This window comes from Homo sapiens, chromosome 4 (genome assembly GCF_000001405.40).
Source record: "Homo sapiens chromosome 4, GRCh38.p14 Primary Assembly".
Taxonomy (NCBI): domain Eukaryota; kingdom Metazoa; phylum Chordata; class Mammalia; order Primates; family Hominidae; genus Homo; species Homo sapiens.
This window is the reverse complement of record NC_000004.12, coordinates 5,836,233-5,863,049: the sequence shown is the minus strand read 5'-3', so window position 1 is coordinate 5,863,049 and position 26,817 is coordinate 5,836,233. Positions and strand designations below refer to the sequence as shown.

General features: G+C 49.0%; 1 protein-coding gene across 6 annotated transcripts in view; it reads left to right on the top strand.

Annotated features, from left to right (window-relative positions):
• Positions 1-26,817, top strand: part of CRMP1 (collapsin response mediator protein 1) — a 72,323-nt gene that overhangs the window by 30,037 nt on the left and 15,469 nt on the right. For all 6 annotated transcript variants that reach the window (NM_001014809.3, NM_001288661.2, XM_047449629.1 and 3 more), the window contains 8 exons: positions 1,840-2,024; positions 6,743-6,907; positions 11,581-11,642; positions 13,578-13,658; positions 19,889-19,957; positions 21,622-21,742; positions 23,372-23,528; positions 26,144-26,285. In NM_001014809.3, coding sequence (NP_001014809.1) covers positions 1,840-2,024; positions 6,743-6,907; positions 11,581-11,642; positions 13,578-13,658; positions 19,889-19,957; positions 21,622-21,742; positions 23,372-23,528; positions 26,144-26,285 — 982 coding nt within the window. The remainder of the gene's footprint in view (positions 1-1,839; positions 2,025-6,742; positions 6,908-11,580; positions 11,643-13,577; positions 13,659-19,888; positions 19,958-21,621; positions 21,743-23,371; positions 23,529-26,143; positions 26,286-26,817) is intronic.

Genomic DNA, 26,817 nt, shown 5'->3' with positions numbered 1-26,817 from the left:
CTTGAGCTCAGGAGTTCAAGATTAGCCTGGGCAACATAGGGAGATCCCATCTCTACAAAAAATTTAAAAACAAAATTACCTGGGCATGGTGGTGCAAGCCTGTGTAGTTCCAGCTACTTGAGAGGCTGAGGCGGGAGGATCGCTTGAGCCCAGCAAGTTGAGGCTGCAGTGAGCCATGACCTGTACCACTGTACTCCAGCCTGGCTGACAGAGACCCTATCTCCAAAATAATTAAAAGAACCTCTCATTAGAGTACTTGTTGGCCCCCACTGAATGGTGACTCGGTCACAGGCTTGAATCAGACTGAGCTGTGATTCCGCTGACACTCACGTGTAGGTCCGTGCCCATGTGTAGACACACCACGTGCATGTCTACAGCCAGCGGCCCTTCTGCCTGGACCGTGCCCAGGCCTTTGCCTGAGATGGCATTTGGGGTGCGACCCTGTCCTCTGTTAGAGCTGGTTGTGAGCCTTCAATGAGAGAAGCCGTGATGCGCTTAGAAGACGCTGTTCTCCAGTTGCTGTTCCTTTTAAGTTAAGGGTCGAGTGTCTTCCCAACCCCTTTCCCTTCAGCTCTTGGCAAGCCCACACGTTTGGAGAGGATGGCAGAAGGACTGGGGAAGAAAGGATTTCCCTAAGTCAAGTTGGACATTCTGGTGTTATTATTAGTAGTGGTGGTGGACATTCTGGGGGTAAGGGATTGGTTATAAGCAGCGGCGGTGGACATTCTGGGGGTAAGGGATTGGTTATTATAAGCAATGGCAGTGGACATTCTGGGGGTAAGGGATCGGTTAGTATAAGCAGCGGCAGTGGAGATTCTGGGGATAAGGGATTGGTTATTAAAAGCAGCGGTGGTGGTGATCCTGGTGGAGGTGGACATGTGTGGTAACATTTTCTGGGTGTCCACCTTGTCCCTGGCACTATGCGGTCCTAGGCTTATTTCCTGGGTTAAGAGGACAGTGTGTGGCACCCACTTCTTTGGGGGAGCCCCAGCTGGGACCTGCTTGCTGGCCCAGCTTCTCACAGGAGCCCAGGAGGGCAGAGGCTGCTGTCTTGGCTGCCTGGCTGTGGATTCTGTCTAGAGCTGCACTTTTGGTCACTGAAGCAGCATCTTCCTGTGTCTTTATTACTAGGGTTTTTTGTGACTTAGAAAATTAATATGCTGCCCAATCTCAAGCGTTCACAACAATTGGATTTTTTTTAGAATAAAAATCACCCACAGTCAGATCTCATGGTCTGAGCCAGACCTTAACCTTGGATGCTGCAGGGTTCCTTTCCTGGTTCTGGCTGAGCCTCTTCCCCCAGCGCCTTGAGGGACCTCCTGACTCTGGTGCCAGCAAATAAAAACCAGAAGCCACCGTCATCAATAAGTCACCCATGGAGATCCCCGGGGGCTTCGTTTCTCATTTCGTAGGCTCTTTTCCCTCCTTCCCCATTTGGAATTTAACCTCCTGGAGGAAGTTTTCAGGCACCTGTTACATCAGAATAGACATGACGGTCAGCACATGCATCATGCTGGGCTCACTTCTGTTGGATTCAGCTCTGCCACCCCCTCCACCTGGAAGCCTTCTTAGATAATGAGACTGGATGAAAGGGCCCCTCCTCGTGCCCCCGATCATCTCTGCTATACTGGGCTCTAACAGTCTGCCCACCTGTCTTACGTCCTATTAGACTATGAGCCCCTTGAGGGCATGTGCCCTGCCTGAGTTATCTCTGTCTCCCCAGGGCCTTGTGAAGGGCCTGGCTCAGAAATGTTTATTTCATGGAACTGAAGCTGCGGGTTGACTGCCCATTCTACTTTTCCTTTAAGAACCAAGGCTGTCTCTGTTGTTTGCCTCCAGACAAATAGGAGAGAACTTAATCGTTCCTGGTGGAGTGAAGACCATTGAAGCCAACGGGCGGATGGTTATTCCCGGAGGTATTGATGTCAACACGTACCTGCAGAAGCCCTCCCAGGGGATGACTGCGGCTGATGACTTCTTCCAAGGGACCAGGGCGGCACTGGTGGGCGGGACCACGATGATCAGTGAGTGACACTGTCCCCTGCCTTAGGGACATAGACTGTGAGGTCTCCTCCCCATCACCAGCATCACAAGTGCTCAGTGTGTTCGAGGCTCTCTGCCCAGGGTGCCATTGGATTTCATTCTCCCCCCAGCCCTATGACACAGGTCACTGTTTTACAGAGCATACCGTGTGTGCCACTGGGGCCACAGAAGATGGCTTAATAAACAATACGGTTTTATAGGTACCAATTTTAAAAAATTATTTTTAAAATATTGAAATAAAACAACATCTCATTGATATAATCGCTTAGCATGAGACTGAAGTCACATTTAGATTTTTAGAAACAAAATTTGTTTAAAGAAAAGTATTAAGTAAAGAAGACATGGATTATAGGGAGATAAAGCAAAAAAAAAAAAAATCCTTCAACATGATGTGAAGATGGCTATGGTTTCAGAACCAGTGACATAGGTATTATTGTGACAGATGGGAGAATAGAGGCTCAGAGAGGTGAAGCAACTTGCCCAAGGAGACACAGCTGGGAAGTGGTTGTATTAGTATTGCTGCAGTAATACTGTGATAACACCGCGTAACAAACAGCCCCCAAATCTTAAGCAACACTTGTTTTTCTCATTTGAGGGTGTGCAGGAGTGGGAGTGGGGCTGGAGTGGCTGTGCTTAGCTTTGGGTTGGATTCAGGCACCATGGGTCTCCCATTCTGGACCCAGTGACTCCCCAGCCACTCTGTTCTCCTGGTGGATGGCAGAATGCAGGGGGTTCTGGCCGAAACTTGCCTTTCTTCTCACTGCCTCATCTCCTCACTTCCATGCTGCAACTTCCACCCACATTCCATTGGCCAAGGTCAGTCATGTGGCCGAGCCCAAAGTTGACAGGAGCACACTGTGCCACAGAGAGCCCTGGTGAGGTTGGGGAGGGAAGGAAACACTGCGGGCAGTGAGACCACTCCCCAGCAGTGCTCGGTCTGGGAAACTGGACTCCTCCTCCATTGCCCTGTGCAGCCCGATGGCTGTTTCTTGTGTTGATTTTGAAGAGCCGCTTTTGCTTGGATTCATTTTAATAAGCAATTTTAATTAAATAGGCCACAGTTTATTGTAAATGTTCTTTCAACTGTTAGGCTCTTCGGTTTCAGGAGGCCTGTCTGTAAGCTGGCCCCAACCCTGCCCATCTCTCCCGCTCCTTCACAAAGGAGTCCCTTTGGAAGTGTGGTCTGTGGGCTGAAGCCCACCGCCATGGGCAGAGTTTGCCAAGTCCCTGAGCCAGGAGGGTGGGGCTCGACTTTTGAGGCAAGCACTGTCCTGATCCCTCTTCCAAAGGGCAGCCCGTGGATCTGCTGGATGGGAAATGGGAGGATCTAGACTTGGACTTGGATCCCAGTGGCCAGGGTTTGAACCTGAGCACTGGCACTCAGCAGGCAACTGCATGACTGTGGCCAGCACTCAGCCTCTCTGAGCCTCAGCTTCCTCATCTATAATGTGGGCCTTATGGTGGGAAGTGCCTAGGGTGGTTTGGAGACGTACATGAGATTCCTTCATGTAGTGCATGGGACATGAGAGTTCTGAGAGATGGGCATGGAAGTTCTGGGTTCAGGAGGACTGCACAGGGCAGGGGAAGGAGTACTGGATGAGGAGCCAGGGTTCCTGGGATGTCCCCTGCTTTTCTCCATTACCAGCTGTGAGACCCTGGGGAGCCCTGCCCTGTAAGCCTTATCCTCCTCACCTGTGAAGGGCAGTTTCCAAAGTGTGTTTCATGGAACAAGAGCCTATGAAAGCACACGAGGACAACAGTCCAGGGCTCTGAAAGGGTCCCCGCCCTTCCCCATCTTCATTCAACAGATGTTAAGTAAGAGTTGTCCGCACCAGGCACTGTACCAGGTGAACAAAAGCAGGAATGATGCTCGTTGTCAAGGGGACTGCCATCTCTTGGGGAGTCACTAATCGTCCACATGTATGACTAGAAACTGTGACTCCTGCTACAAAAGAAGGGTACACAGTGCTTTGAACTGAGGGGCAGGGTCTCAGGGAAGTGTTCTCTGAAGAAGTGACATTCGTACAGGGATCTGAAGGATGAGTTGGAATTAACCGGGAGAAGAGGGCAGAGAAAAGCAGAGCCCCAGGAGGAGGGAATAGCATGTGCAAAGGCCCTGAGGTGAGAACACACCTCCCATTCCAGAGACTGCAGGGAGGCCCACGGTGCAGGGGTGTCGAGATTGAGGGATGACATCCTGTGAGGCAAGGCTGGAAGGAGAGGACAACCCTGGGCCTCGATGGCCTGATGAGGCTGTGGCTCTTTCTCATATGGGTGATGGGCAATGTTGAGGTATTTTAAGCAGGGAGAGATGTGAACTGTTCTGTGTTTTGGAGAGACCGGTAATAGAGTGGCCTGGATGGGATGTGTCTGGACCAGTTGGGAGGCGATTGCGTAATTCAGCTGAGAGATGAGGGTGGCGTGGCCATGGAGTGGGCAGAATTGGACAGCTCCAGGGATATGGAGGAGGCCAGTCAACAGCCTTCGGTGCTGGGTCACACACGGGGGCATGTGAGGGAAAGGAAGTGCCACGGGTGACCTGGGCCTCTGGCTGTGGAACCGTTGGTTGGTGATGTCCACCACAGCTGGGGTCGGGGTGGGGAGAGTATTGCATGAGGTTTTGGACATTCTCATTTGGGGGAGCTTTTGAGTCATCTCGGTGGAGAAGCCAAGAACACAACCGGGTTCAGAGTTCTGTAGCTCAGAGCAAGTGGTGTGTTTCAATGAGCTGGCACAAAGAAAAGGGATCCAATTAGTAAGCATAGTGAACAGTAGGGGATGGAGTCCTCAGGATGATTGAGAAGCGGCAGCCAAAGAAGTAGGACAAAGGAACGAAAAAGCCAGAAGGTGGCGTTGCCATGGAAGCTGGAGAGAAGCGAGTTTAAGGAAGGAGGGAGGGACTCTCTGTGCCCTGAGAGGCCAAGAGACTGAGGACTGCATGCTCCCCATTAGACCTAGAGATGTGAGGGTCATATTAGCAAAGCCTGATGCTTTAAGTGGATGGAGGTGTGAGTGGGAGGAGGAGAGGTGAGACTTCTCTTTTTGACATCTGCCTGTGAAGGGTGGGGGTGCAAAGAAACAGGGCAGTAAGCCTCAAGGGAGGTTTAAAAGACTGACTGCAGGCTCCCCTTTCTCATCTACTTTACATTTAAGATTTTATTTGAAAAAAGGATGATGAAGTGAACTTGTTGGGTCTCGGAGGCCCTTTTCATCTTGGCATTCTGTGCCAAAGGAGGTAGCTTGGAGCAGTGGGTAAGAGTTCAGACTGTCTGACAGGTCTTGGATAACCTTCCTTCTTCTGCTTACTAGTTGTACGCTCTTGGACAATTGCTTTACCCTCTTTGAGCCTCAAGTTTTTCATCTGCAAAATGGGTATATTAATTTTCACTTTACAGGACAGTTGTGAGGATTGAATGAACGAACTTATGTCAAGCTTTTGTGGCATTATCTGACAAATAGTAAGCATTCCATAAATAGTTATGATGATGGTGATGATGATGACAATGGTGGTGATGATGGTGGTAATGAAGACTGAAGATGATGGTGATGATGTCATTGCTAATGGTTATGGTTAATGATAGTGAGTGATGGCAGTATGACAATGATGATGGTGGGAGTGATTATGAAAAGGATGGTGATGATGGTGATGATAATGGTGGTGATGGCGATGGGGTGATAATAGGGATGATGATGATGGTGATAGGATGGTGGTGATGAAGATGGTGATGATGATGATGGGGTGATAATGATAGTGATGATGATGATGGTGATGGTGATGATGGTGGTGCTGGTGATGGGGTGGTGATGATGGTGGTGGAGTGACAATGATAGTGGTGATGATAGTGGATGGTAGTGATGATAGTGGATGGTGGTGGTGGTGATGGTGATGATTGTGGTGGTGGTGGTGATGTTAGTGATAATGGTGGTGGTGGTGATGGTGGGGTGATAATGATAGTGGTGATAATAGTGGATGGTGGTGATGATAGCAGATGGTGGTGATGATAGTGGATGGTGGTGATAACAGTGGATGGTGGTGATGATAGTGGATGGTGGTGGTGATGGTGATGATGGTGGTGATGGTGGTGGTGGTGGTGATAATGTTAGTAATGATGATGATGGTGGTGGTGGTGGTGATGGTGATGATGGTGGGGTGACAATGATAGTGGTGATAATAGTGGATGGTGGTAATGATAGTGGATGGTGGTGGTGGTGATGATGGTGCTGATGGTAATGATGATGATAGTGATGGTGGTGGAGGTGATGATAGTGATGAGCGATAATGATAGTGATGACGGTGGTGGTAGTGGTGATAATGGTAATGATGATGATGATGGTGATGGTAATGATGGTCATGGTGATGGGTTGATAATGATGATGATGATAGTGGCGGTCATGGTGATGATGGTGATGGGGTGATAATGATGGTGATGATGGTGGTGGTAGTGGTGATAATGGTAATGATGATGATGATGGTGATGGTAATGATGGTCATGGTGATGGGTTGATAATGATGGTGATGATTGTGGTGGTGATAATGATGGTGGCTGTCATAGTGATAATGGTGATGGTGTGATAATTATGGTGATGATGATGATGGTGGTGATGGTAATGATGGTGATGATGGTGGTAGTGGTAATGATGTGGCTACCATTGGAACACTTGAGTCTGAAGCATCATGATGCATATTTCTCTGTCCCAGTTGACCATGTTGTTCCTGAACCTGGGTCCAGCCTACTGACCTCTTTCGAGAAGTGGCACGAAGCAGCTGACACCAAATCCTGCTGTGATTACTCCCTCCACGTGGACATCACAAGCTGGTACGATGGCGTTCGGGAGGAGCTGGAGGTGCTGGTGCAGGACAAAGGTCAGTTAAAGCCTCGGAACGGGGTTTTGGGGAATCCCTTGTTCTTTGGTAGATCCAAAGATTATGTGGAGTGAAAAATCCCCCTGTCTGCATCTGTTCTGAGCCTGATTATGAGCTGCACTCTGCCACGTGACAGTGAGGAAACAGGCCAGTCCCTTTACAGAGTCCATCCTTTTCTCCTTGAAAACCTCTGGGGGTGTCCTTGTTCTCAGAAGCAGATCCAGTCTCTGCAGCCTGCTGTGCCCAGGCCCTTGCTGATCTAACTTCACTTTTCTTTTCCATCACCCGGATCACTAGCCTGGCTGCCATCCCTGAAACTGGCTATGCTGTGAGGCCCTTGCTCATGTGGATCCCCTGCCAGGAATGAATGCCCTTTCTCCTCTGCCTGCCCAGTGCTACTCACCTTCAAGACCCAACTCAACCATTACCTTCTCCCATTGCTTCATTCCTTGAATAGCCAATGCCGGTTACTTAGGCCTCCTTTGGGGCACTTTTTCCATTGTTCCTGGATTATGGGACATGGTTTGTCTGTCTGGCTCTTCTGCCAAACCCTGAGCTCTGTGAGGGAGGGGACCACGTCTATATGTCCCTGCTTCCCACCTTGGCTCCCCTCTGTTTGGGTTCACACCAGCACAGTGTAGACCTTTATGGTGTGTGTTACATCGAACTGGGGGGAACTGATCAGAAGACACAAAGGAAGCAAAGAACAGCAGAATGGAAAGAGACAGGGCATGAGCGATCTGTCCAGAAAGGGGCAGTCGGGGAGCCCTCTGAGGAGGCAGCCTCAAATGGTGGTGCTTCAAGGAGAGCGAGGGTGTGTTTCCAATTTTTAAAATAGCTGTGCTATGTTTTCTCGTAATAACAGTATCATCCCCAATATTTAAAGAAAGTCAGAAAATGGAAGGAAAAAAATTGTTTTCCTCTGGTTCTACCCCCAATCACAATTTACTCTAAATGTGCAGGATTATTGCTTTCCATTCCCTGTGTATTTGGATGATTTTTCCCCTATGTGGTTGTGCAATAGCTGTTATGTGGAACCCTTCTTTTTTCACTTAACATTTTATGAGTCAAATTACTTTTCATCAATAACTTTTTAATGGCTTGTAATGTATAATATAATGGTTAATTTGCTTAGCTATTTTCTTTTTATTGGGCATTTATGCTTTCTATTCGTTTTATTATAAATCCTGTTACGGTGAACATCTTTGTATATAAACATTTGTTTGCATTTCTAATTTTTCTTTAGATTTCCAGAAGTGGAATTAGAAGGTCAGAGGTTTTAACATTTTTCAAGATTATGACACTTATTGCCAAATTGGTTTCCTGAAAGATGCATCCCCTTGTACCCCTGCAAATCCTATGCCAGAATCTCTAGTCCCTGCACCTTTGCACCATTGGGCATTATTGCTTCTATGAAATCCTTGCCGATTCGATGGGTGAAAGACACCACCATTGTGGTTTTCATGGCAGTTCTTTACTGATTACATTCAACATTTTGCATACATTTTTCCTTATGTGAATAGCTGATTGTATTATTTGCCCACTCTTCAATTTGCATTTTCATATGTCTGTTTAAGCTCTTTCTATCAAGAAGGCATTATTGGCCATGGTGGCTCATGCCTGTAATCCTAGCACTTCGGGAGGCTGAGGAGGGAGGATTGCTTGAGGCCTGGAGTTTGAGACCAGCCTGGGCAACATAGTGAGACCACGACTCTATTAAAAAAAAAAAAAAAAAAAAAAAAACATAGCCAGGAGTGGTGGTGTACGCCTCCCAGCTACTTGGGAGGCTGAGCAGGAGCATTGCTTGAGTTTGGGAGGTTGAGGCTGGAGTGAGCACTGCACTCCAGCCTGGCTCATAGAGTGAGACCCTATCTTTTAAAAGAAAAAGGCATTATCCTTGTATTGCAGTTGCTGCGTGATTCACTGCAACTACATAACAGAGTCATAATCCAAGGAAATTGACAGTCTTGTATCTTACTTTCCTTACCTAATGTTAAGTTCTGAGCAATTTTCCCCAGGTTGCCGCCTTAAGCAAATGGTCGTTTAGGACGCCCCTCACTGAGATGGGAGGGTCTCTGGAGTGGCAGTGGAGTTTGTAGGGAAAGACACTGGGCTCCGTGAGGCCTAGTGGGTCTGTGCTGCCTGCAGGCATCCAGGGAGCCCTGTGCTGTGCGCATCTGGGCTGGGTCACCAGCAGGCGAATGGCGATGGTGCTCAGGTCCTGGCAGCAACCTTTCAACTTTGTATGCTTCTATGAAATCAACTTTTTAGATTCCACATATAAGTGAGATGCTGCAGTGTTTGCCTTTCTGTGCCTGACTTATTTCCCTTAACATAGGGTTCCACAGCTTCAACTTTGTTGCTGCAAATGACACGATGTCCTTCTTTACTAAGGCATCCATTGTGTATGTTTACCACATTTATAAAATCCATTCATTCATTGATGGACACAGGTTGCTTCCTAATCTTGGCTGTTATAAACAATGCCTCAATGAACACGGGAGTGGGGATATCCCCTGGGTATTCTGATTTCAATTCCTTTGGATTTTCAGCCGGTAGTGGGACTGCTGAAGCATATGGTAATTCAGTTCTTAGTTTTGTGAGGAGCCTCCGTACTGTTCCCCATAGAGGTGGCTGTGCTAATTTACATTCCCACAAACGGTGCTCAGGAATTGCCTTTTCTCCACATCCTCATCAACACTTGCTATCTCTTAGATGCAGCTCTTTCTTTCTTTCCTTCTGATGGAGTCTTACTCTGTCACCCAGGCTGGAGTGCAATGGCGAGATCTCAGCTCACTGCCTCCCAGGTTAAAGTGATTCTTCCCCCTCAGCCTCCCAAGTAGCTTGGATTACAGGCACCTGCCACCACACCCGGCTAATTTTTGTATTTTTAGTAGAGACGGGGTATCACCATATTGGCCAGGCTGGTCCTGAACTCTTGACCTCAGGTGATCCACCTGCCTTGGCCTCCCAAATTGCTGGGATTACAGGCGTGAGCCACTGCTCCCACCTGTGTTTTTATTTTCTAATCAGCTTAAATGCTCTCAGCAATTCCACATTATCCCCAGAATAAATTGCAAGCTGTCTGCCTGGCTCATCAGGATGCGCCTGCTCCTCCAGACTGGCTTGTTCCAGTTCCTGGGGCCCAGAGCCCCAGCCCCCTGCACCTCCGTTTCCCATCTGCTCGAGGCTGCCTCTGGCTCTTGGGGCTGTGTGAGTGAGTACTGGCCCCTTCAGGAACAGTCTCCCTGCCTTTTCCTAGCGATTCTCCTGTTCGTGCTGAGCTGTACTCCCCTGGGAAGCCTTCCCTGAAGCCCCCTGACAGATGCAACCCCCCCATGCATCCCCCACATAGGGATCATCAGACTAAGTTGTCTTTGCCCATTGACTTGCTGATACTCCCACACCCCAGCCCAGATGGCGAGCCCCCTACGGGCAGGGACTTGTCGTCTTACTCACAGTTGCATGGCTGGGACCTGCACAGAGAGTTGCATCCAATATCAGTGGACCAGCTGATTGATTTCATGAAAGATGCCTTTAGTAACTTCTGTATCTCAAGTGCTTAGCACATGCCCAGCATACAGCAGGCTCTCAGTAAGTGTTTGTAACATGAATAAATAAGTTAGGAAAGGAAAAGAGGAGAGAAGCAGGGAGGGAGGGAAGAAAGGGAGGAGGAACACGCCTGGTTTCCTTGGTCCTGAAGCATTTTAGTGCGTCCTTCTCTAAGTCAGAAGGGCTTGCCCAGAAATCTTGCTATTTGTCATGAGTGTACTGTGCAGTCCAGTGCAGGGCATTTCCAGGATGGGAAACCAACACGTTTGGTGTAATGTCCTCTTTGCAGAAATGGGGAAAGTGAAACCCAGAGAGGTGCAGTAACGTCTCAAGTGCCACACAGCAACTGAGGCCTGAACTCAGCTCTCCCTGACGGAGCAGCTGTCACTGTTGATGTCTTTATGGGAATTGCAAACACAATTCTTTAAAGAAATGGGATAAAAAAGCACATGCTTTAGGACACTTTCTAGAAGCTGCATGACTAATGTCTTTTCATCTTCCGTATTGCAGATGCTCATCACACCCTTCCTTATCCTTACCACACCCCTCCCTCTCAGCCTGGGGAGTTTTCCTCCTCCTCCTCGTCCTCTTTCTCCTCCTCTTCCTCTTCCTCCTCCTCTTCCTCTTCCTCCTTCTTCTCCCTTTCTCCTCCTCTTCCTCCTCTTCCTCTTCTCCTTCTCTTTCTCCTTTTTCTTCCTCCTCCTCTTCCTCTTCCTCTTCCTCCTCCTGCTCCTCTTCCTCCTCCTCCTCCCCTTCTCCTTCTTTCTCCTCCTCTTCTTTTTCCTCCTCTTCCTCTTCCTCCTTGTCCTCTTTCTCCTCCTCTTCATCCTCCTCCTTCTCCTCTTCCTCCTCCTCCTCTTTCTCCTTCTCCTCCCCTTCCTCCTCCTTCTCCTCCCTTTCTCCTCCATCACCTTCAGATTCTGCTTAGGTGTGACCTTCCCTGGAAGCTTCCTTTGACCTTCGCCCACATCCTCAGGCTGGATAGGTGCCCCACTGGGGATCCCAATGGCACTCATCTCTCCTGGCGACTACCACTCTGCTCTGTGGTCATTGATTTATTGGAAAGACATGCTTCTGTTTTTTCTTAAACATATTTTTCTATCCTTTCTATCTTGAAACAGGCGTCAATTCCTTCCAAGTCTACATGGCCTATAAGGATGTCTACCAAATGTCCGACAGCCAGGTAGGTCCCTCACACTCACTCTCTCCTCTCTTGTCTGGGCAGGACTGGGCCAGCTTTGCCAGTCCAGGCAGCACAGGGCAAGGGAGATTGTGAGAAGCCGTGGGATTCGAGTCCTGGTTCTGGCATGGAATGGCTGTGTGATACGGTGTCAGTCATTGCCCCAGCTGGGCTTCTGTTCTTTTCTGACTGTGTGAGTGGCATGCAGAAGGGGTTCCCTGGTTTGGTGGCTCCCAAATCTGGCTTATCCTCAGCATCATCTGGAGAGCTCACTTGAAATACAGATTCTTAGTGCATGTTCCAGATGTTGGGTGTTGGACTCAGGAGCCTGTACTTCCCGAAAGCTCTGCGTTTGATCCTGGTATTCAGGCAAGGATGGGGACCATTTATGAGCTCTGACACAGGAAGAGAGACTGCCTGGCCTTCCCTCACAGCAACTGCAACATGCTGGGCAAGTCATCTCCTCACATTTGTAAGATGGAACATTTCTGGCCCTGCCAACAGCAAACAATTATTATGTACATGCACCAAGTCAAGGGATATGGAGCCGCAAGTTGTTCTTCAGGAGGAGTGGTTACGACTTACAGGACACCTGGCCTTCTTATACTACTGGGTCTCCTAGTTTTGTTTCATTGTCAGTTTCCCTTGCTCTGCTTGTTAGTGTGGTGGAGAAAATCATGGAGGCTACAGCCAAGCCAGGTGCTTGCTCTGCAGCCAGGGGCAGCTTTCCCAACTTCTCTGTGCTTTAGGCTCATGATAGCCCTACCTTATAGAGGCAGTTGAATGATTTCATAAGAAGAGTAAAGTGCTAGGATGGTGCCTAGCAGAGAATGGTGCCATACAGGCATCAGTTAGCAGGGTAATTGGTTATTACCATGAAGATAGATGGGCAACGGGAGAAGCACTTTATGTCCTTCCTTTCAGATAAACACTTGGGGTTACAGAAAATAACTTATCCCAAGATGTCCTGGAGGCCTTTGATACAGTCAACAAAAGACACTCAAAGAGCTGAAAATTGGTTCAGTTACATAGAAAACATAGCATGTGATGTGCTGGCATAATTGTGATTTTCACCTGTTTCATTCTAACTACTGGAGCCATGGGCATGGATGGAATCGAGCAGCCTCTGCGTGCAGGTTCTCAAAAGTGCTTCATGCCTCCACATGCCTTCCCTATTTGCTGAAATAGGGATGTCTGTCGGAAAGCAGACATCCGAGGGGATGTTGTCTTGCATGCATGGAGAACAAAGTTGAGGTTCAAGTGTCCCTGGAGAGGGAGCTTCGTGGCTTTGGCCCTTACCAGGGGCAATGCCCAAATGCAGATTCTCCTCAGGTAGGAAGAGAACACTGGGCAGTGGGGAGGGCCTGTTTTGTCTAATTGAGAGGATGGTTGGCATGCTATATATTTTCTGAGTATTGGAGTTATTAGAGAGCTGGTTTCCCCCACCCCACCATTGTCCATAAAATGGCATGGGTTCATATTTTTGTAAGGATGCACACATATTCTGTGGCATGTAGGTGGCTATGGTACAGGCTTAGCAGATTTAGTTAGATAATTTCTGTAAAACTAACAGTGACTTCTCAGGACCAGTTGCTGCCATTAACACCTACAGGTGTTTCAAAAAAGCCAACCCAAAAAGACAGCAAAAGGCATAGATAGGCACTGAGATTGAGTCTGTCTTCATGCCCTGGGGTGACTTGGACCAGTTGTGCCCCATCCTCAGCTTCCTGCTTTTGGGTCTGCAAGATGTCAGGGTCAAGGAATGATCCTTCCAAGTCTGACTTGTGTAGCAGCGTATTCCATCCACATGAATGTGTTTGCAGAGGCTGGCAGGTGAATGACCGAATGGGTGTGATCGGAACGGTCTTCATGAATGCACACGCTGTGATTTTTTTTTTTTTTTAAATCTCACACCAACCCCTGTTTATCTCTCCATAGCTCTATGAAGCCTTTACCTTCCTTAAGGGCCTGGGAGCTGTGATCTTGGTCCATGCAGAAAATGGAGATTTGATAGCTCAGGTGAGTGGCAAGAATTTCCACTCCTTCTACCTCAGTCTGATTCTCCTTGTTGCAAAAGGTTTGATAAAAGAGCATTGGTTAGTGAGGAGGCTGTACAATGAAAGGTCAAGCCAGGAACTGGGTGTCATATCAGACACATCAGATATGAATGAAAATGCTTTGCAAACCTAGGTCATACCAGTGGCAATGCACATGGAAGCTGGTGTTCCTCATTGTCTTCAGGAATTGGGAGTGGGCATCATGGAAAAGCCCAGGCTTGGAGGAGGTGTTCCATGCCAGTCTCCTCCATCTCCTAGCCATGTGACCTTGGGCAAGGAACTTTTTCCCATGAACACTCTTATTTTTCTTCCAGAAACAACCACCTGGCAGTGTTATTGTGTGGATCAAATGATATTATGTGCCATGGCTTGAATGTGTCCTTCAAAAGTTCATATGTTGAAAACTTAATGCACAAGCTAGTATGTTGATGGTATTTGGAGGTGAGGCCTTAGGGAGGTAATTTGGATTAGATGAGATCATCAGGGTGGGGGCCTTATGACGGGATTAGTGGCTTTATAAGGAGAAGAAGAGAGGCCTGAGCTGGCATGCACCTGCTGTCTCATGTGATGCCCACCGCCATGCTATGATGCAGCAAGAAGGCCCTCACCAGATGCTGGCACCTTGTTATTAGATTTCCCAGCCTCCAGAACCATGGGAAATACACTTATTTTCTGTAAAATTACCAAGTCTATGGTATTCTGTAATAGCATCAGAAAACAGAGTAAGACATCGTGTATGTGAGGTTCAGAATCTGACACATAATGGACTGCAGCCATGCAAAAGTTTTGGATAAAATGAGACATGAACATATTTTGATAATTCTAGCTGTGGAGTGGAGAATTTGTTGGGAAAAGAATGAAAGCTGGGAGTTGTGGCTCACGCCTGTAATACCAGCACTTTGAGAGGCCGAGGTGGGCTGATCACTTGAGGCCAAGAGTGTGAGACCAGCCTGGCCAACATGGCAAAACCCCATCTCTACTAAAAAATACAAAAATTAGCTGGGTGTGGTGGAGCACACCTGTAATCCCAGCTATTACAGGTGGGAATACAGGTATTACAGGTGAGAATACAGCCATTATCAGGTGTGAGGCTGAGGCAGAGAATTGCTTGAACCTGGAAGGTGGAGCTTGCAGTGAGCTGAGATCACGCCACTGCACTCCAGCCTGGGCAACAGAGTGAGACTCTGTCTCAAAAAAAAAAAAAAATGAAGTCAGGGTGACTAGCTAGGTTCTATTTCAGCAAGTCTCATAAGAAATGAAGAGAGGAGATAGGAGATGGAAGAGGTGAGCATGACAGGAGGGAAACACAATCTACAGGACCCATGGACGGATTGGGTGGAGGAAGAAGAGAAAGAAGTCAGGCAGGCTCCTGGGTCTCTGGTGCAGAGGCATGGATTGGTTATAATGTTGTAAATCAAGCCAGGCTTATAGGGGAAGGTTTGGATGCAGCCAGTAAAGGTAGTTAATGCCAGACATGATGCAAAGGACTTCACATATTGATACTCACAACTACTCCGTGAGGTAGATATAATTATTCCCATTTTATAGATAGGGAAACTGAAGCTCAGATATGAATAAGTTGCTCACTGTTGCTCATGGGGCAGTAGAGTTAGGATGTTAACCAGTTCCCTCTAGTTCCAGAGCGCAGTGGAAGAGCAACATGATGGTTCAGTGCTGGAGATCTAAAGCTTCACCATTAAGGTTCATTGACTTCACTTCTTCTTATCTGAGTCCTTGTAGTTTTCCTGCACAATTGAAATTCTTTCAAATTCAATGTAAAAAACCAACAGTGCCTTAGTTCCATCATGCAAGAGTATTCTGTTCATTGCTAACAGGTCACTGCATCCAGCCCACACTCAAAAAGAAGGGATTATACAAGGGCAGGAATGTCAGGAAGTGAGAATTATTAGGGCCACATCTGAGACTTCCTCCCAATCTGTCTTCTGGCCCCCATGATTGATGTTCCTCTCCCATGCAAATTACAATCACCCCTTCCCATGGTTCTCCAAAATCTCATAACAGCATTAGTTCACAGTCTGGAATCTCATCATCCAAACCAGGTCCAGGTGTGGATGAGGCTCCTTGGCTGTATTTCCCATAATCTGTAGGTCTATGAAGCTAAAGAAGGAAGATATCTCCCTGACCCTCCTGATATACAACATGCAGTGGTGGACCTGACATTCCTATTCAAAAAGGGAAAAATAGAAGGCACCAAGGAGTTATTGGTTCATGGCGGTTCTGAAATCTGGCTGGGAAATGTTGGCAGTTCCTTGACTGGGTTTCAAAGCCTGAGAATAAGTCTCCATAGCTCTTGGCTCTACCTTCTGAGCTCCTGCTTCCATCCTCTGAGTCATCCATCCTTTTTCGTGAAAGGTAGTACATGTCTGCAGCTGAGTGGTTTTCTCAGCCTGCTTCTTGCTCAGTAGAATTTCAGGGATCAGCCAGGCACGGTGGCTCATGCCTGTAATCCCAGCAATTTGGGAGGCCAAGGCGGGCAGATCACCTGAGGTCAGAAGTTTGAGACCAGCCTGGCCAACATGGCGAAACACTGCCTCTACTAAAAAAAAAAAAAAAAAAAAAAAAAAAAAAAAAAAAATTAGCCGGGCATGGTGGCGGGTGCCTGTAATCCTAGCTACTTGGGAGGTTGAGGCAGGAGAATTGCTTGAATGTGGGAGGTGGAGGTTGCAGTGAGATGAGATCACGCCACTACACTCCAGCCTGGGTGACAGTGAGACCCCGTCTTAAAAAAAAAAAGAATTTTGGGGATCCAACTGCTTCTTTTCACATCACATGCCTGTGTTCAGTCTCAGCTTCCAGTATTTTGCTAAGGCAACTCTCCTAAAAATCTGTGGACCTCCTGTGAATCTCGCTGGGGTTCACACCATAAGACAAAAGGCACCCACTTCTTCCAGATAATCCCTCCGCTACCCTGATGAGAGAGCTGAGAGACACAACTGCAAGCTTCCCAGAGGCCCTGTAGTTTGACTGAGATGGTCCACAGGCACAGCCTTCATCTCTTTGAAATGTCTCTTCAAAAAAATTTTTTTTAAATTTTTTTGAGACTTAATCTCATTCTGTCATCCACACTGGAGTACAGTGGTGCAATCTTGGCTCATTGCAGCCCCCGTCTCCTGGGTTCAAGTGATTCTTGTGCCTCAGCCTCCTGAGTAGCTGGGACTATAGGCATGCGCCACCACGCCTAGCTAATTTTTGTATTTTTAGTAGTGATGGGTTTTTACCATGTTGGCCAGGCTGGTCTTGAACTCCCGACCTCAAGTGATCTGCCCGCCTCGGCCTCCCACAGTGCTGGGATTACAGGTGTGAGCCACCATGCCCAGCCTAAAAGGTCCCTATTTAAAGGATCTCTTTCTTGTGGCTGATAATACTGGGAGGCACCACCCCTCATCTTTCTGAGTTCTTAACAAGGGGCTGTAGACTCACATCCTTGGTTTCTTCGCAAGACTGTTTATGGCTGCTTCTTGCCTCCTGTGAGGACTCAATGTCCTCAGAGGCCCTATTTCTTCTAAGAGTCCATTCAAGGCTATTTAAATTGCTGTTTGGGAATTCATTTGCTGCCTGGTTCCAGATCCTCTTCCACACATTTAGATATCTTTTATGGTAACACCCTACTTCTGGTAACAAAACCTGTACTAGTCATCCATGATTGCATAACAAATTACTTCAGAACATAGCGTCTTAAAGCAAATTATCTCATGGTCCTGTGGGTCTGGACTCCAGGTGCAGCTCAGCTATTTCTGGCTGAGGGTCTCACAGGCCATAGTGAGTGGCAGGTTGGGGGCGGTGAGCATCTCAAGGCTCAACTGGTGCAGGATTTGCATCCAGCCTCTCGTAGGTGGTGTATTTCTGGATATAGCTCCTTGCTAGCTGTCAGGCTAATGTGATGGTCTGTTCTTTGCTGGCTGCTGGCCAGAGGCCTCCCTCGGTTCCTTGCACATGGGCAGCCCCAGCGAGGCGGCTTCCTTCAGAGCAGATTAACCAAAAAGCAGTAGGTGAGCAGGTCGGAAGCCAGAGTCTCTGTAACCTGACCTCGGGAGTGACAGCCCAACCCTTTTGTCTTGTTCTGCTCATCAGAAGCAAGGTGCTGGGTCCAGCCCACACTCCAGGGGAGGGGACCCTGCAGGGCCTTGAAAAGCAGGAGGCGGGATCACTGGGAGTCATCTTAGAAGTTGCTGCCACACAAATCTTAGCTGATTTTAAACTTTCTAAAAATGGAAGCATACAGCACACACTGTCTTATGTCCGGCTCCATTTGCTCAATCCGAGGCGTGTGAGATCCATCTTTGGCCAGGCATAGCACTAGCTTTTTCTATTTCATCGGTGTGTAGAATTCCACCGCACGAATCTGCACAATGTATTCTCCAGTTGTTGGATATTTGGATAGTTTCACATTTGGAACCGTGATGCGTGAGGCTTCTGTGCTTGTTCTTGCTCCACTCTTGTTCAGCCTTTTATTAACCATAGGTTCACATCTTTAGCTGGTATATACCTAAGAGAGGAATGGCTGGGTCCTAGGGTGTGTGTAGATTCAGCGTTAGTGGTTACTGCTACACAGTTTCCCAGCGTGCACGCACCCCTGCACCAGTGTGAGAGAGGTCCAGCCTGCAGCCCCCAGCTCCTGAGTGGCACATAAGGGGCTTTGCTCTCCTCACTGCCAGCAGAGATTTAGCTGTTCCAGCTCCAGCACATCCATCACCTTTTGGACATCTGCTTTCCAGCTTTCAACATTTTGTTCCTCTGGTCTTCTCTGTAGTTTCTTGGTTCCTGTGTGTCTCTTTCTCTTGTGACTTCTGTGTGTTTTGGAAGGCAGTGAAACAAATGCATGTGTGTAGTCCATTATTTTAGACTAGAAATCCTACTCTCGTCTTTGTTTTTCTTCATCATGTCATCTTTCATCCTCCCTTCCTCGCCTCTTCTCCCTCCCTCCTGGCTTTCTTCCCTTCCTCCCCTTCCCTCCATTCCCCTTCCCTCCCCTGCCCTCCCCCTCCTTACTTCCTCTTTCCTTCCAGAATAGTAACTGACATGTAAACAATTTCACAGAGGGATTTCTCGGTATTCTAAAATCTTTTTGTAAACATTTTCTAAAAATGCTTTGTAAACAGTGTCTTCGGTAGCTGAAATTATTCCATTGTTTACTTCAATCTACCCAGCTGTTAGACTTTGAAATGGTTTCCCATTTATATTCTTGTAATAACCTCGAGCTTAATAACCATAGACGCGCAGTTGAGATTGTGATTTCTTTTCATGGGTGATGAGGCCCAGGGTTCATGACGGGGTGATGTCTAAGAACAATGACACAGACACTGAGGAAGTTAAAATTAGCAGCAGTACAGCTGGCATCTGGGCAATGTCAAATTTTTTTTTTATTTTTTATTTTAGAAATTAAAGTGTTCCTGGGACAAAGAAACTTTGGACCAGATGGATTTGAATCTAGGCCATCAGCCCAGGGAACCATTTCAAGGTTATATGATAAGTTTCAGGTAGTGGTTTCCCGCCATAAAGACAGATGCCAGGAAGAGGCAGCTGAAGTAGGTATGAGAGCCGGCTGCCAATTAATGAGCGTGTGCTCGCTCAGCTCCAGGTTTTGTGCTGAGCATGTTTCGTATGCTCGCTCATCTGATCAGCGTAGTAACTCTGCAGTACAAGCACCGTTATCCCCAGTGTACAGAAGAGGAGACTGAGGTCAAGAGAGCTTGACCAACCTGCCCAAAGTCACAGAGACGGCTGTTCTGGATCTGGACTCCCAGTTTCGGGATCTTTGATTTCAACATCAAAGACTAGAGTAGGATTCCTAGTTGAAGATATCCATGTTGTACCCAAACACCACGTTTCTTCCCAGAGGAGAGGCCTGCAGGGAGACTCCGAGATTCAGAGAGTGGTGGGTGGCCTTGGAAGCTCGTGTCTTATAACCCTGCTTCCTCTCATTGATCCCGGGAGATTCAATATAAAGCAGGTGCAGATGGAGCCATGCAGGGCTACAAAGGGGAAGGTGGATGGGTGTGTAGTGGAGGGGACACAGTTCACTGCCCCCACCCCGCACACTGTTAACCTAGTGCAAGCCACTCGCCTCTTTGGGACCCAGCTGCCCCCTCTGTCTAACCAGGGGGTTGGAGGAGTCACTTCTCCCAGCTCTGACACCCTCTAATCGTTAACTCACTTGTTCTTGTCTTGTAGGAACAAAAGCGGATCCTGGAGATGGGCATCACGGGTCCCGAGGGCCATGCCCTGAGCAGACCTGAAGAGGTAAGGACTCCTCAACTTGGGCATGACTCTGACACTCACCACTGAGCACTCACCTTGATGCTGTTCCAGCTGGAGTAGCCCAGCCAGGACCCGGCCTCTTCCCGTGTCCTCTCCCAGACCATCCCAAACCATCTTGTTTTCCCCGGGAACCCTGGGGACTGCTGGCTGGAGAAGACAGGAAGAGGTGCTGCCTCTCCCAGGGTCCTGGAACTTCACTCCAAGGCCCCGTGGGTGCTTCAGTGTCCCAAGTGGATACGGATTCTCATGGAGGACATGGCATAGTGGATAATAGGAAAGTGGAGCCGCATGCCCAAGCCCAGCACCCAGGAGACAACTCCCACTGCCTGCCCTGTTCCCAAGCCTTGAAAAAGGATGACTTCCCCTGGACTGGCTGTGTGTGTATGTGTGTGTGTGAGTGTGTGTATGTTAGTGTGTGTGTGTGAGAGAGACAGTGCGTGTGTGTGTGTGTGAGTGAGTGTGTGTGTGTGTGTGTGAGAGAGTGTGTGAGTGTGGGTGCATGTGCATGCACCTGCAGGGAGTGTGGAAGGAGGAAGGCAAGCTGATCGGGCATGGAATAGAGTGGGCACCCTGGCAGCCATCCTTTGAGTTGAGGACACCTTCTTTTTACTTTCTTTCTTTCTTTTCTTTTTTTTTTTTTTTTTTTGAGATGGAGTCTCTCTCTGTTGCCCAGGCTACAGTGCAGTGGTATGATCTCGGTTCACTGCAGCCTCCGCTTCCTGGGTTCAAGTGACTCTCCTGCCTCAGCCTCCCAAGTAGCTAGGAGCACTAGGCACAGGCCTGTGCCACCACGCCTGGCTAATTTGTGTTTTTTGTTTGTTTGTTTTGTTTGTTTTTGAGACAGAGTCTCGCTCTGTCGCCCAGGCTGGAGTGAAGTGGCGCCATCTTGGCTCACTGCAAGCTCTGCCTCCCGGGTTCACACCATTCTCCTGCCTCAGCCTCCCAAGTAGCTGGGACTACAGGCACCTGCCACCACACTGGCTAATTTTTTGTATTTTCAGTAGAGACAGGGTTTCACCGTGTTAGCCAGGATGGTCTCGATCTCCTGACCTCGTGAATAGAGACTGGGTTTCACCATGGTGGCCAGTCTGGTCTGAAACTTCCGACCTCAAGTGATCCATCCGTCTTGGCCTCCCAAAGTGCTGGGATTACAGGTGTGAGCCACCGTGCCTGGCCAAGTTGAGGACATTTTCTGATGTCCTCATCAGGTCATTACCGAGTCTTCTGGGCCCATGCCCTGGGCCTGGTGTCTGCTGGACACAGGGGACACAGACATGAGTCCACATGAGTGGACAGGTTCCGTGTCCTGAGGGGCTTGAGATCCCACCCAGTGCTCTTCATGAGCTCCACAGCCCAGGGATGGCCACGAGCTGTATGTTCCTGGCCCATGGTGAGGTCAGGACAGAACTGGGAGGCAGTGCTATAAACTTGTATAGCGCTTGGATGTTGCTGCCGTATCCCAGCGTGAGACCAATGCTCCACCCCGGAGAGCAGGGGGCACTGTCAAGCGCTGTTGGACTCAGTATGTCCTTCTCATTCAATGGAGCAGATTTCCCTTCTGATCACATTCAATTAAGGAAAATGGAGATGGGTGGTAGCTGTTACACCAGCCTTCCCTCCTGTGACACTGTGTGTGCCGTGTTCAGCTGGAGGCCGAGGCGGTGTTCCGGGCCATCACCATTGCGGGCCGGATCAACTGCCCTGTGTACATCACCAAGGTCATGAGCAAGAGTGCAGCCGACATCATCGCTCTGGCCAGGAAGAAAGGTATGCAGCCGGCCCTGGGCCTTCTGGGGGCAGCTGGGGCCTGGAAGGGGGTGTCCTGCAGGTTCAAGTTCACTCCCTCCCGAACTCAGACAGGCAGCCGGAGGAGGGAGGGGTGGAGCGGGGATGCTCCTGACACAAGGATGGTGGCTGGAATTCTTTGGTCCCAATGACCTTAGGATATTCACCTCGATAAGCTCAGCTCCATTTAAAGAGAATTTTAATAATATATTATGTTTAATCTAATGGATCCACATATTAATTCAGCATGTCATCAATGTAAAAATCATTAATATTTTGCATGATGTTTTCTGTACTCTCTTCAAAATTCAGTATCTTACATGTACACAACTCAGTTCAGACTAACCACAGCCTCAGGTTATTGGTGGCCACATGCGGCTCAGGACTGCCTTATTGGACAGAGCAGCTGTGGACCCCAAATATGTTGTTTTAGTGTTTTTAAGGGCAAGCTGACAAGTAGAGGCTAGAACAGCACAGCTTGCCTGAAACTAGCTCCATTTTGAAGATAAGGAAACCGGGGCTCAGAGAGGTTACAGAAATCTGGAAGCGGTACCAGCCGGGAGCGGGTAAGCAGGCAGGTTCTGGAGCTACAGGAAGCCATAAGGTAGCCACTAACCACACGTGGCTATCTAAATTTAAATTAAGTAATGTTAAGTAAAATGAACAAGTTAGTTTCTCAGTGGCACCAGCCACACCAGCTTAACAGCCACATGTGGCCGGTGGTTGCTGGTTGGGCAGCTGTGATACAGGGCACCCCCCTCGCTGCAGAAAGCGCTGCTTGATGGGCTGCCCTAGAGCCGGGCAGAGCTTGCAGCTGCCTCTCCTACTGGGCAGCAGGTGGCCTCAGGCGAGGGCAGCAGGGGGTCTCGGGCCACATCTCTTGCCCTTGGTCTCTAATGCAAAGATCTTTCCTGGGGAGCCCGAGCCTCTGCCTGCAGGCTTTTCTGGAAGAAGCCCGCCAGGCCGACTCCTTGAAAGACAAGCAGGAACTTCTGGGAAGTTAGTGCTCGGGAAGCCGCCCTCCGGCACTGGGCTGACAGAAACACATCCAACTCCCTTTCCCCTGGGGTGGGAGGACCCTGAGGCGTGTTCCCGAGCAGGACTGAGTGCCAGGGCCCTCAGCTGTGCCTCGATGAGAAATCTCCCTTTATTGGCTGCTTTCCCTGCCTTATGTCACTTCCTCAATCCCCAGCCAGTGTTTCCTGGAATCACCTCCCAAATAAGACTCTTGAACTAGATTCCTAAGATCTGCTTCTGGCAGAACCCTAACTGAGAGAGTAAATCGTGTCTCCATGGCTTGGCTTACAAATCTATAAAAGGACATAATAATGTCCAAATCGTAAAAGCAACAGCCATATCCACAGGTTGCTGGGTGAGTCAGCTGCCGTACGCCCCATGGAGCGCGTGGCGGGGCGCCGACAATGTGGTGGAGCTGGGCCCGGACACCCAAGGTCCCTGCGGTGCAGGCGGTGATGCCTGCAAGAACGGTGGCCAGTGTTCTGGCCTTCAGCCAGCCCCGTTCTCCCTCCACAGTCTTCCAATTTTGTGCCTTTGACATCTGCCTCAAGAGAGTATTTGCTTTTAACCAGGCTTATGTTTTCCCCTCCTAAGGGCCCCTAGTTTTTGGAGAGCCCATTGCCGCCAGCCTGGGGACCGATGGCACCCATTACTGGAGCAAGAACTGGGCCAAGGCTGCGGCGTTCGTGACTTCCCCTCCCCTGAGCCCGGACCCTACCACGCCCGACTACTTGACCTCCCTACTGGCCTGGTGAGACCTGTGAGAACGTGGGGCTGGGGGAGGCAGCTGGGGCCTTTGGAGGCAGAGAGTTAATGGTGGGAATCCGCAGGCTGGTTTGGACTCATGATTGTAGAGGAGGCTCTGCCCCGTGCTCTGCAAGGACTGCGCTCATATGGCTTACAACAGGCCCTCACGGACCTGAAGATCTGTGGCATCCAGTGACTGTTCCATTCACATCAATTGACCACCTCCTGTTGAGCCAACCTACTGTTAAGCACCTGCTCTGTGGCAGGCACCATGGTGTATCGGGAAGCACTCAGGATCAGGGATGGAGACAAGGCTGTGTCACCCCGGACCTGGCACGTCACCCGTGACATCTCTCTGTCTCCCTCGTTTTACTCAAAGTGGAAGCAGACAGTACCTGTGGCAGAGCTGCCTATGGGACAGTGCAGGAAAAGGACCTGGAACCGAGTGCTCCAGAAGTGGCCGCTGCTGCCTGCAGCACACTTGCTGTGGTGCACGCACACTGTGGAGCCCAGCACCTCAGCCCCTTCCCTTCTGTTAGCCACCAGGAGGGAAGAGCACTTAGCAATAGCAGGGCCACACAGCGAGGCTAAGTGTCCAGGCCGCTCTGGAAGCAGAGACGCATGCTCAGAACCCACCGGGAGGCTTGCAGAAGGCTTTCTGGAGGAGGGGGCATCAAGACTAAAGCTTGGGGATGAGTAGGAGTTTGCCCAATAGGGGAGGATAAGATGGGGCTTCTTGGCAGAAGGAACCTTGGAGGAGGGGGCAGTGGTGTGCGCCCACGTGGAAATCACCATCCCCCTGATGATACAGAAACCTTTGACTAGCGTAGCCAAGGGCTTACTCAACATCTGCAGTCCAATGTCTGGTGGGCAGCTCACGTTTACAAAGAACTGCAGATCTTCCCCCATAAAGCTGCTAGTCCCACAGTCTTGCCCATCTAAGAAAATGTCAGGAACACGGACCAGAGGCCCTAGAGTCTGACAACGCCTCACCTGTCTGCTGTGGCCATCCTGGCTCAGGCCACCATCATCCCTGGCTTCCGACCAAGACTTTCTATTTCCACACGGGCCCACCCCACCCTACCCATCACAGTCTGCTGTCAGACATTTAGAACCTAGATTAGATCAAGCACCCCTCTGCTTGGAACCAGTAAGTCCTCTGCCAGTGAAACCCAAGTCCCTGCAACATCCAACAAGGCAGAACTCAATCCGGTGCACACGCCCTGACCAACCTCCCTCCCTGGGCCTCCTCTGCCCTTGGCTCCCTCGGTCCAGTCCCAGCTTCATGCTGACCCTGAACCCCAGGCAGGACCCTGCCTCGGGGCCTTTACACTCATGGGAACCCCTGGCTAGTTCCCTCTTTCTTAGACGCCACATGGTTTGCTCTGTGACTTCCTTCAGATCTTTGCTAGAAGGCTCCTCAGTGACGTAATTTTCTGATTATCCTCCTGGAAATGGCATCTCCAGCCTGTCCCCAGCACGCCTCATCCCCACCTGCTTTGGTTGAATCCCTGACACTCACTCTAACAGCGCCCATGTGCCCCATTCGCCTCTGCTTATTGCCAGTCTCCCCCATCCCTCAGTATAGCTGACACATGCAGAAGCTCTCTCTTTCTGATCTTAGATGCAGTCCCCATTCCTTAAATTGTACCGGGCACATAGGAAGCATGCAACACAATTTTGTTGAATAAATGAGTGAAGAAAACTTCTAAATATACTCCTCTGCATCTAGGCAATTGCTAACATTTCCTGGGCCTCTGGATTGGAGGACAGCCTCACCTTCCTCACCTTGCATTTAGAACCACTAATAATGGTCCATTCATTTTTTATTTTATTTTATTTTATTTATTTTATTTTATTTTATTTTATTTTATTATTTTATTTTATTTTATTTTTTGAGACTGCGTTTTGCTCTTGTCGCCCAGGCTGGAGTGCAATGGTGCAATCTCGGTTCACTGCAACCTCCACCTCCTGGGTTCAAGCAATTCTCCTGCCTTAGCCTCCTGAGTAGCTGGGATTACAAGCGCCCACCACCACGCCTGGCTAATTTTTTTTTTTTTTTTTTAGTAGAGACAAGGTTTTGCCATGTTGGTCAGGCTGGTCCCGATCTCCTGACTTCAGGTGATCCACAGCCTCCCAAAGTGCTGGGATTACAGGTGTGAGCCACCACACTCAGCCTGGTCCATTCATTTTATTGTCTTAGGTGTTCAGCTCAGGGCACCTGATATATCAAAGAGTATTTGTTTTTAAAACACCAGGGGACAAAAGGGTAAATCCCAGTGAACTTGTGCCACTTTGCTGTAACCAATGAATAGTGTTTGTTCTGCAAGCACAGCACAAACACTCTGGCCAGCCCTTAAGCCAACTGCCTTATGTCAAGAAGACAAATGTCAGCACACATTACTCACTTTGTAACGTGCAAAGCATGAGGCCAGTGACATAAATGGGGCATCCCTGACTTGTGACACGTGCAGGCACACGCTAGAGAGTCTCTCTTACCCACTGGCTTCCTTATCTATTCATTCATTCACTGGCTGTGCTGCATGTACCTGTCTGAAGTCAGGATTTGCCTTCAAAATGAACTAGGGTCTGAACTCTACCTTGTTTTGTCCTTGCCAGTGGGGACTTGCAGGTCACAGGCAGCGGCCACTGTCCCTACAGCACTGCCCAGAAGGCGGTGGGCAAGGACAACTTTACCCTGATCCCCGAGGGTGTCAACGGGATAGAGGAGCGGATGACGGTCGTCTGGGACAAGGCGGTGGTAAGGCTGGATCTCTTCTCAGGAGCATTCTAGAAACACTCTACCTGCCCTGTGAAAGCCGATGCATTATGCACGCTGGGTTCTTAAAAGTTCCCTTCTTACATGGAGGCGGAAGCAGATATACTAGGAGGGCGCAGGAGGGAACGCATAACTTGAGAGATAGTAGCTCAAGTCCGGGAGAGGCCTCTGCATTTGTGGATGTCACCCTTGTCCTTTACATCTTAAGATTGAAAAATGTTTTGTTTTGTTTCTCAACCACGTCTTAGTTCCTGTGGAAATGGCTCTGTAACGCTGTGTGTGTGCATGTGCACACGTGTTAGGAGTTGGGATGTTGAGTGGGTAGAGAGAGAATTCCTGTTGCAGAGGAAGAGCTGGGTCTCACTCTGATCACTGACCTGAAACCAAAGGTTTTTAATCTTCTGTTAAACTGGGGCCTGGTGACATGGACAAGATGTCATAGTGGCTCTTGCGTCAACATACCTCTGTGCGGTTAATTAAATGTCCTCTCTGATGAGGCTGGGCCTTCTGGGGT